The 11,728-nt window shown below is 38.6% G+C and overlaps 1 protein-coding gene across 1 annotated transcript in view; it reads left to right on the top strand.

The window, feature by feature from the left end:
- ANKIB1 (ankyrin repeat and IBR domain containing 1) overlaps positions 1–11,728 on the top strand; it is a 155,410-nt gene that overhangs the window by 735 nt on the left and 142,947 nt on the right. The window lies entirely within an intron of this gene.

Below are 11,728 nucleotides of genomic sequence, written 5' to 3' on the forward strand. Positions count from 1 at the left end.
TCTCCCAGCGAATTTGCAAGCCTCCGGGTCTCCGTGACGCGTCCCATCCTCCCCATCTGGATGCATCTCCTTGTCCCTCTGTCCTCAAAGGATCTGTGTCCTTCCTCGCAGCCTCCCCCCCACCCCCATCCTTTGAGACGTGGAAAGCCACGGGTTCTGCCGACCTCGGGGGCTAGAGAGAGTCTTGAGAAGCGGATGGGTAAAAGTGCTCTGCAGGGCTGTGATGGGTGGGGATAGGTGCAGATGGCTCCAGTGAACCTTTATTTTTGCAGCTTCTGCCACCAAAACAAAAGAATGGAGCGCTCCCCTGTATTCTTATTCTTCTCCGTATGTATGAGCTGTTTTTCTGTACGTAGCTGTTTGAGTCGCAGGAAATTGAAACTAGAGCTGTAATAAAGCATCTCCTGAGGAGATTTTGAGAATTAGTCTCCCAAGCTCTATTCACACGGAATGGCATATCGAACAATCTTGTATTGGAATGACCATTTCAGAAGAGCTTTACTGGTAGATCTGACAGATAAATGTAAAGATAAGAGTCTGCTGTTTCAAATAGTGTATTTTAGATACCTTTAAATTTTAGTGTTCTAATTTTCATCTAGTTCTTAATTTGTGAAGTATGTGGGTATGTGTAAGGTGTAAAAATCTGTGTATTGGAAGGTTTTGCTTTGTTACAAGCTTTTGCTTTGTTGCTTTTGAGACAGACGTTTAAAGATCATATTAGATTGTATTTGATAATTATTTTCAATCATTAATTCCAGAGAAATCTTTTTTTGTATCAGCCACTCACAGATGTTACACACCTTGGTGCCTATGACCCTCCTGCTGCTTAAACTGTGAATGTCTTCAAAGTATATTTTCAGATTTTTGAACTAGGCGTTTTTTCTCATTAGAATTTGATTTGCTTTTCAAACTGCTCCTGCAGAACTTTCCAGAAATTAGATTTAAAAATAATTTTAATGCTGTCAGTGATTGGACAATAGCTCTTATATGACTTTATGCATTTGCTACTTTTCAGAGCACCATAGGAAGCAAACGATAATTTAAGAATAATTTTACTGTGTACTGCAGGTTGTCATTCTGCAAACTACTGTGTAGTGTAGACTGGTAGCTTTGGTGTTTTGTGTTGCTGAAAAACATTGTCATTTCATTAAGAAAGATGGATGTGTTTAATGACTTTTCCCCCCAACCTCCTTTCAGCAGTTGATTTTGGGCTATTATCTGATTTGTAACTTCTCACTGTTCACAGATTTTAATTTGAAGTAGGCTCAGGAGATGTAGCTCCAACTCTGTCTCTGGAAATGTACTTAGCACAGAAGCCAAGCACTGTGCAGAGTTGAGTGTATTATTAAGGGTGTGGCTTTTGCTTTCTGTAAAATTGTTCAGTTTCTGAATAAGAGTAGGGTGCTATAGTGAGGTGATGGGCGCTATCTTGGAGAAGTCTTAGAAAAAATGTTGTTGATTCTCTTTTCCTTGGGGTAGGATGGGGAAGATAGAACTATATTTTCCTATTTCACTGTTCCCTTGACCACTACACCGAGAATTTTGAGTTTTCAATATGTAAGGAGTCTGAAACTGTGCCAACTGTGCTGTAAACAAGGGCTCTAACAGGTAGGTGACTCCTGAAACATGGGAGGGAAGTTTTGTTAGCCACTCTTTTGTACTCCTGTGGCACTGCCCACTTCTCAAAGAGTGGGTTTTCTTTCCTCTTTCTTTTCTGGGGTATGCACTCAAACTTGTGAAAGTGAAATATGTGTATTTACAACTTGCTTGTAGATAAAAGTGCGAGCTCATTTTCATATATAAGTAGATGGAAGAACTATGAATTAAGTTAATCTGAATGTCCTTGAAATGAAGTTGGAAAAGATTCCTCAGTGCTTTGGGTAATTTTTCCCCCATTGAGGATGCATATGACATTTATTTAGATTAAGTTTTAAAATATTTCCTTCAAATATTTGACACATTTGCCAAAAAGGATTTGGGAGTGGACTAAGTCATTATTAAAGAGACCAGTCTGTGGGAGTTTTTATACATTGATCTAAAAATGTTTAGGTTTTTAATTTACTTTTCAAAGTGACTTCCTTAGGGGGAATGGTAATTTTTGGATTCTCAGTTTATTTTTCAGATAACCTCAGACTGCCTCTTTCTTTTCCAGATACTTTTTTTCTTTTTTCTTTTCTTTCTTTTTTTTTTTTTTTTTGAGATGGAGTCTCATTCTCTTGCCAAGGCTGGAGTGCAGTGGTGTGATCTTAGCTCAGTACAACCTCCGCCTCCTGGGGTCAAACGATTCTCCTGCGTCAGCCTCCCAAGTAGCTGGGACTACAGGTGCCCGCCACCACACCCGGCTAATTTTTGTATTTTTAGTAGAGACGAGGTTTTGCCACGTTGGCCAGGCTGGTCTCAAACTCCTGAACTCAGGTGATCCGCCTGCCTTGGCCTCCCAAAATGTTGGGATTATGGGTGTCAGCCACTGCGCCTGGCCTTCCAGATACTTTCATGTCCACTTCATTTCAGTAAACCTTTGTTGAGCATCTACTGTGTGTGCCAAGCACTTTTATTAGGTTCTGGAACTACCAGGGTAAATTAGTCAAGGTTCCTTTCCTCATTGAGGTTACCAGTCTAGATATTTGACTGTGATTTCTATTCACCTGCCTTTATTGGCTTCTCTTACAGGTTTTTAAGCCACTTGACCCTGTTGCAAGGTTGTTTCATATCCTGTGTATAAGAATAAGCGGCCGGGTGCTGTGGCTCACGCCTGTAATCCCAGCACTTTGGGAGGCCGAGGTGGACAGATCATGAGGTCAAGAGATCAAGACCAGCCTGGCCAACATGGTGAAACTCTGTCTCTACTAAAGATACAAAAAACTAGCTGGGTGTGGTGGCACGCCCCTGTAATCCCAGCTACTTGGGAGGTGGAGGCAGGAGAATCACTTTAACCTGGGAGGTGGAGGTTGCAGTGAGCTGAGATCGCACCATTGCACTCCAGCCTGGGTGACAGGGTGAGACTCTGTCTCAAAAAAAAAAAAGAATAAGCACAATAGATGCCATTTATTGAGTGCCTAATTTGTGCCAGTCACCATGCTAAGTGCTTTACATACGTTATCTCATTTAATCCTTAGAACAGTCCCAAAATATATTTTATCTCCATTTAAAGATCTCCCCCCCCACACGCGAATAAACTAAACTAAATTATTTTAATAATAAAAAGCCATACAGAATCTTGTGTATAGTATTACTGGATTTTTTTTTCTTGTAATATTCTCGAAAAGATTTGACTTACAGTCCTTAAAGGGGAGAAGCTGTCGTACAGTCATTAACAGTTTTTAATTCTCTAATATTGCTTTGAATAGAAAAATCCTAATTTCATAAGGTACTAGTATATCTTGTGTTCTAAAGCAGATAATTTGGCTGGGTGCAGTGGCTCACACCTGTAATCCCAGAACTTTGGGAGGCTGAGGCAGGCGGATCACCTGAGGTCAGGAGTTCGAGACCAGCCTGACCAACATAGAGAAACCCCATCTCTACTAAAAATGCAAAATTAGCCGAGCGTGGTGGCACATGCCTGTAATCCCAGCTACTCGGGAGGCTGAGGCAGGAGAATCGCCTGAACCCAGGAGGCAGAGGTTGCAGTGAGCCGAGATCACGCCATTGCACTCTAGCCTGGGCAACAAGAGCAAAACTCCGCCTAAAAATAAATAAATCAATAAAGCAGATAATTATATACTATCAAAAATAATTTTCAGTCATTGTTTAAACTTTTGAAAAGACATAATTCTAAAGTTCATTATGGTTAACTGTAACAGATCTTCAGGCATGTTTACCTTTTTTTCCCTCTAGTTCTACAACGGGACCACAAGCTTTTAAAATGTGCTAAAAATGTGTGTATTCTCCAGGAAGGGTAGAGTATTGAGCCATGTGAAATCTATTCAGCTTTTAAAATTTTTGAGTTTGATTTTGGCAACTAAGGGCCTTGGAGAGTTTTAGTTTCTGCAATGAAAATGTATTCTTTCAGATTTGAAAATTATCATGCTCATTATTGGTAGGATATATACTTTATCAGTAATTTGATATGATTCTGTCTAATACTTTTTCAGACACTCAGCATTTTTTAAAACATGGTTTTTCACTGTCAACTCTTTTCTCCAAAAGCCTTATTTTTATCCTCAACATTTTATTCTATCATTAATTTTTAACCAAAAACTGTTAGCAGTTTGCTATTCTCAGGATAATGATTTTTACTACTGGTTATACACTCTTCTGTTTTTAGGACTGTAGAGCAGATATTTAATACTTGAGTTGCTAAGAAAGTTAATCCTTGATATTTTTCTGTCTTCAGTCTGACATATAATTTTAACTTAACATAGACAGTCCTTTCATTTCAGTGTAGCAAAATCCTTGCTACTCAAGTCACTATATTTTTCTCACTGAAACAATATTGGAGGTAGAATTCCTGTTCAAGGACATTAACAATGACTAAATTATAAATGGGCTAGGTGCTGGGTCTACAAAGATGAGTAAGTCAAGATTCCTTTCCTCACTGAGCTGTAAAATGTTCATTTAAAATCCATGAAGAGAAGGGAGAGTTCATTGAGATGCTCTTAGTTCTCCAAATAGACATGAAAACATTGCCCTTCTTGTTAATGCGTCCCTTCAGAGTATGGTAAAGGAAAGTATGTAAATCAACATATTCAGCCAGGGTTTTCATTCTGTTTCCTGGCCTTAGGCAATAGGTGATTCACATTTGCTGTATCACTAGATGTTCTATATCACATCTTTATTTTCAGATGAAAAAAATCATTTTGAAATAATTTCAAATTTAAAGAAAAAATGCCAGAACAGTACAAAGAACTCTTACATCCCCTTCACCCAGATTTCTCCTATTGTTAATATTTTGCTTACTTTCTTCCATTGCCTGCCCTCTCTCTCTCTGTCTCCATACATACATACCTCCTCATTACAGTCTTTTTCTGAACCTTTTGGAGCAAACTGCCAACATGGTATCACATCACTCCTAAACACTACAGCGTCTGTTTTTTAAAAATAGGCACTCTCTTATACAGCCAACATACTACTGTCCAAAGAAGAAAATCAACGTGGATACAACACTGCTATCTAGTCCAAAGAATCTATACAAATTTCGTGTACTATGCCAACAATATCTCTTTATCTTCTGGCGCAGGATCCTATCCAGGAATACATGTTACAGTTGGTTGTTATGTCTGTTCGTAGTTCTTCAGCCTCAGTTTTCCATCTTTCATGTCCTTGATAGTTTTAATAAGTTTATGCCCTGTATTCTGTGTGGTGACCCTCATCCTAGATCTATATAATTCTTCCTCATGATTCCAATCAGGTTATGCATTCCTGGCAGTAATACCACAGAAATGCTGCTGTGTGCCCTTCTTAGTGTGTTGCATCCAGAGGCATACAATGTAAAACCATGCCACTAATAGTGATATTGGCAAGATTATATTTGTGCCCTTTGTGATTTATTAGTGTTTGTGGAGATGTATTCCAAAATTATGCTAGTATCCTGTTTCTCATCAACCCTCCACTCATTAGCTTTGGTGGGTGTCATTGATGACTCCCACCTGAATTAACCACTCTTATGATGATTGCCAAATAATATTTTTTCTGTTATTTCTTCTATGCATATTAGTTGGTATTATGTCATAAGGTACTACTTTTTTTTTTTTTTTTTTGAGACAGAGTCTTGCTCTGCTGCCCAGGCTGGAATGCAGTGGTGTGATCTTGGCTCACTGCAACCTCTACCTCCCAGGTTCAAGCAATTCTCCTGCCTCAGCCTCCCGAGTAGCTGAGATTACAGGCACCCACCACCACTCCCAGCTCATTTTTGTGTTTTTAGTAGAGATGGGGTTTCACCTCTTTCTCTCTTATGTATTAAAATTAAAATAGTAAAGACTCATGGATTTCAATTTTGTGAAATGTGTTCTGATTTGTTGCTATTGTTATTTATTTTGCTTTTTAAGGTATTCCTGACTTAGCCAATGGTAACCTCTTCAAGCTGGCTCGTCTGCCCGTATATCATGCCCCTATCTCATTGATTGTGCATTTCCTTAGGGCTTTCTGGCAGAACAAGCTGTTCCTGGTTCATCTTGTGCTTTGTCTACTAGAGTAGACAAAGTAGATTCCAGGGCTAGAGCCCTGGAATCAGCCATTTCTCCAAGGAGCCCTATTTTTGTTTTTTGTGGGTTGTTTTTTTTTGTGAAAGATGGTATTTAAAAACAAAGATTTGGGGGCTTAGTGTGTTCATTGCTACTGGAGTGTCATTGCTTCCAAGCCGTCATAAAAGACAGAATTAGGACACTTGTATATGGTTTGTATACACACACATAGGCAAAACACACACTCATGTACATACATAATTATTTCTGTACCTGTGTGTACATATTACAGAATCATAAAGTTGTTCCTGTAGTTCCAATTCTAGTCCAGCACCCCAGGGTTTTTCCTAGCTTTCTCCCTTGAAATGTTTATGAATGCCTTCTCTGGCAGCAATAAACTAGGCTTTGCATTAGCCTGAATATATTTATCATTTCCCCAGTTGTTTTATTTATTTGCCCAGTAGGCTACCATTCTCCCTGCCATGTAGACCATCTCCCACCTTCATCTACCCCTACTAACACACATCATTAACTGAGGGGCCTGCTGGCTTTTGCCTCTGTGGAACCACAACCCTTCACTGGGCCTATGACTCTGTGCAACTCTCTGTTTCCACACAACACCCATTGTCCTCGCCTCTAGGCTAATTAGCCTGCACTTCTGGTAGTCTTCCCAACATGACCTCACTGCCCTGCATCTTCAGCTAGCTTGCAGACACCTTTACATATTCTAATAGTTAATTTTTAAATCTATTTCAAGAATTTACAAACATACATATATGTGATAGAATATACACATAGTTTCCCCAGACACAAATGGTAACATACCATATTAAATATTCTACACCTTTTTTTTTTACTTATCTAGAAAACCTTTCCATTCTTTTTAACAACTTACATAGTATTTCATTGTGCATGTGAGTATGTGTGTACATTCAGACACACACATACACACACCTGTACCTGCCTACCAGTGGTAGAATGTTTAACAGTCATAAATTTCTCCTGTTTTGGTAGGCATTCTTCTTTGCAGTGTGCCTTTGCTTTTTCTGTCTAGAGGTAGAATCTATTTCTCCATCTCTTTCTTGAGTCTTGGCTGGCCTTGTGACTTACTTTGACGAACAAATATGATAGAAGTGATCTATGAGTTCAGGAACCAACTCCTTACAAGGCTTCAAGGAATACTTTCTTGCAGCTGAGTGTGAGGAAGCTGGTCTAGTGTAAGGAAGCACTAGATGTGTCTTGCAGGAGAACCAAGATACCCCAGCTAACAGCAAGCACCAACCGGCAGATATGAAAGTGGTTTATCTAGGACCTAGTAGCCCAGCTGACCCTTTAGCTGAACGCACAGGAACCAGAGATGAAAACAGCAGAGAAACTGCTAGCCAACCTACAGAGTTGTGAAAAATAACATACTGTTTTGAGATACTAAGTTTGGGATGGTTTGTTCTGTAGCAGTAGATATCTGAAACCTTAACTGTGTTCATTTTGGACATATGGATGGTCTCTAGTATTCTATTATGAATAATATTGTAATTAATATCTTTGTGCATAGTATATACCAATTTAATTTTAATACTTAATGCTAAATTATTTTTCAGAAATATTGACACAATTCTAATTGTCACCATTAATGTCTGAGAGTAATTATTTTCTCTATAAACTGTCACTGAATGCTTTTCTTTTACAATAAAATGAGTTTTAAAAAAAAGTTTCCTATGGTGCATTTCCCTAACTACTTATGAGGCTAGCTACTTATGAGGCTAGCCATCTTTCAATATATTTGTTGGGCATTTTGATTTTCAGTTCTGTGAATTGCTTATTCATATCTTTACTCATTTTTTCTTGTTGGATTTTTTCCCTTACTAATATGTTGGTGTTCTTTGATATCCTTATTATGGATATAAACCTTTAACTTAATTTACAAATAAGTTTTGTAAGTTTGCTTTTGTTTTAGTTTATGGTATCACTTATTATAAATTTTTCTTTTGGCATTTCATGTAATCATTGCTATGGTTTGGCTATGTCCCCACCCAAATCTCATCTTAAATTCCCACATGTTGTGGGAGGGACCCAGTGGGAGGTAATTGAATCATAGCATGAGGGCAGGTCTTTCCCGTGCTGTTCTCATGATAGTGAGTAAGTCACACAAGATCTGATGGTTTTAAAAAGGGGAGTTTTCCTTCACAAGCTCTCTTCTCTTTGCCTGCTGCCATCCATGTAAGATGTGACTTGCTCCTCCTTGCCTTCTGCCATGATTGTGAGGCCCCAGCCATGTGGAACCATAGGTCTATTAAATCTCTTTTTCTTCCCTGTCTTGGGTATGTCTTTATCAGCAATGTGAAAATGGACTAATAGAATCATCTATATCTGTCTTTTAAAGACTTTTTGATGTTCCTGTCTTGAGAATCTCTCTCTCCTCTCTAGGTTAAACAAACTTTTTCCTAAACTTTCTTCTGACTTTCTAATCAAATAGTAATCATGTTCAGCGGCCACAGAAATCCAAAAAAGGGTCATATAAATAAACAAGGGGGATTATTTTCCTCAAGTAATGAGAAATTAGAGGTAGACTGGAGCTGGTATAGTGGTTCCACAGTGCTATCAGGAATGCAGGCTCATTTGTCTTTCTGTTTAGTCATCCAGGCTTGTCACCTCGTGGTCTTCAGATGGCATTCCAGACTGAGCAGTAGTTTCGTTATATTCTTTCGCTCTTCATGGCTCTGCTTGCTTTAACTGAGAATCATATCCAGTTTGGTGACTGTAACTTCTGGGGATGGGGCCAAGATAAAGCAGCTCCTTCCCCTCCCCCAGAATAACAAGTTCTTATGAAATATATTTTTTTCTGTTCTTTGAAAAAAATAGTGCTGATTTTGCTTTCTGTGCCATAATAAATGTGTCTTCAGGATAAAGCCCCAGAATTTTTTTTCTTTAACCTATTGGGCTGTCATGTTTTAAAGTTATTTATACGCAAACGGAAATAAACATGATTATATTCTCAAATTGGAACTGTTGGGAACATGGGACTTTAGCATTATGTTCAATAAGTAATACTTATTCAAGGTGTTCTGTGTGCCAGTAACTATGGTAAACAAGGGGTATAAAACTGAATATGGTGTGATTCTCATCCTTAAAGAGTTTACCAGATAACTCAAGAAGCAGATAAACATTTAATTATAGTTTTAGATGGTAAGTTGAGTGTAGTATCAAGTTATGGAGGAAGGACTTTGAAGTTAGTTGAGGGCTGGGGAGCTATTATCATGAAACTTGATAGAGAAAACAACTTTTAAGCTGATACTTGAATGAGTAGTAGGAGTTACCGTTTTCAGGAGGAATTGGTAGGGAAGAGGAGACAACATTCTAGGAGCTTTAGTAGTTTAGTGGGCAGGGCTGAGTTATAAGTGATAGGCTGTGAAGAGATGAATCCTGGTCTTAGCAGGGACTTTTCCTTAGAGCTGAGAACCTTAAGAAGGTTTTAAAATGGAATTGGACAAGATCAGATTTGCCTTTTAATAAAGTTAATTTGGTTATAGTAGAGAAAATTCAGTTGGGGGTGGGATCTGGAAGCAAGGGCCACCTATTAAGGAGTTTATCTAATACATTAAAATCTATTCCAGTATTAGTCAAATATCTCTTGAGCACCTGTGTAAATACAATGTGGGGGAATGCAGAGGTATGTAAAACATATAATTCCTATTTTCAAGGAGTTTGTATTTTAAAATAACTGAGAACTAGGTAACAACAATATGAGGCAGTATACTAATGTTACGGCTTCTATCTTATAAAATGAGGGCAAATAAGGCTAGAATTAAGACTTGAAGCCAAAAGATCTTCATGGCTACAAAGCCCATATTCTTTCTAGGCATGCTACACTGCTTCCCATGGCACTTATTACCACTTGATTTATTATCTGTATGTTACCTCAGAACCCTTGTGACATAAGATTAGAGTACAATTAAAATGATTTTCAACTTGGAATACCAAGTATCATATGATCTCCACTCTGGCTTTCTCCAGGTAGTCTCTGTTGGATGGAATATAACCAGAAAAATAAATGTTGGGTTAGAAAAATTGTCACAAGGGGCTGGCCAGGCTCTGTGGCTCACGCCTGTAATCCTGGCACTTTGAGAGGCCGAGGCATGTGGCTCACCTGAGGTCAAGAGTTCGAGACCAGCCTGGCCAACATGGTGAATCCCTGTCTCTACTAAAAATACAAAAATTAGCTGGGCATGGTGGTGCGTGCCTGTAATTCTAACTACTCAGGAGTCTGAGACAGTAGAATTGCTTGAACCTGAGAGGCGGAGCTTGCAGTGAGCCGAGTAGATCGCCCAACTGCACTCCAGCCTGGGAGCAAGACTCTGTCTCGAAAAGAAAAAAAAAAAGAGAGAAAAAAAGAAAAAAAAGAAAAGAAAAATTGTTACAATGAAGAAGTCGTTATGAACAGTCTTGAGATTAGTTTCTGTGAAACTTAGTATTGCACTGATAGGACAGTGGGGGACAAGATGTGCCATGTCATTAGATAGCTAGATAGCATACTTATTAATTTAAGGTTCTTTTTTCTATATTTATAAGTAGAGCAGGGAATGAAAAAAGGGCATGCACTACTGCCAATAAATAAAGAATTGGTGGTTTTTGATTATGTATTTGCTTTTATTTCCGGAAAGCAATTATAAAAATAAAGATTACTGTAGCCAGACGCGGTGGCTCACGCCTGTAATCCCAACACTTTGGGAGGCTGAGGCAAGTGGATCACCTGAGGTTGGGAGTTCGAGACCAGCCTGACCAACATGGAGAAACCCCGTCTCCACTAAAAATAGAAAATAAGCTGAGCATGGTGGCACATGCCTGTAATCCCGGCTACTCGGGAGGCTGAGGCAGGAGAATCACTTGAACCCTGGAGGCGGAGGTTGCCATGAGCAGAGATCGCGCCATTGTGCTCCAGCCTGGGCAAGAAGAGTGAAACTCTGTCTCAAAAAAAATAAAATAAAATAAAATAAAGATTATTCTATCTTTCAACCATTCTAACTCTTAAATCTGTTAAACCAACTATTGAAACTCAGGCCTTGTAAAGATGGCTAATTTATTCTTTGATCTTTCTCTATTTCTGTAAGAGGTGTGTTTGCCATGTGGTGACATTTTCTTACCTGTATGTTGATGCATTTGAGTAATCTTCTGAGAGTCTTTCTTGCTCTGAAATGTGACTTGACATGATATCTACAGAATTACTTAAAAAAATTAGGATATGATATTCCGATTTGAAAAACATTACTTTTCTTATAAAATAGGAAGAAGTAAAAAGGGAGAATAAAGGTTGGGCTGATAATTTGGTATTATAGGATGAGGAGAAACAGGGAAACTCAGAGGGGATACTTATCTTTTAACTACCCAAAAACTCTGAATGTGGATTAAATGTCAGATGCATAAGGCAAGAGAAAATGAAAAATAATAAGGTTCCAATTCAGGGATTTTATAGTCTAGTAGTCTTTTCTACTGATAATCCTTGAGAGAATTGAGTGTTAATGTCCTAAGCCAGAGGTTCTCAAAGTTAATGTGTATCACACTCACCTGGAATGCTTGTTAAAGTGCAGATTGCTGGGCCTCACCCCCCCAAATTT

The sequence above is a fragment of the Homo sapiens genome, chromosome 7 (genome assembly GCF_000001405.40).
Source record: "Homo sapiens chromosome 7, GRCh38.p14 Primary Assembly".
Classification (NCBI taxonomy): Eukaryota; Metazoa; Chordata; class Mammalia; order Primates; family Hominidae; genus Homo; species Homo sapiens.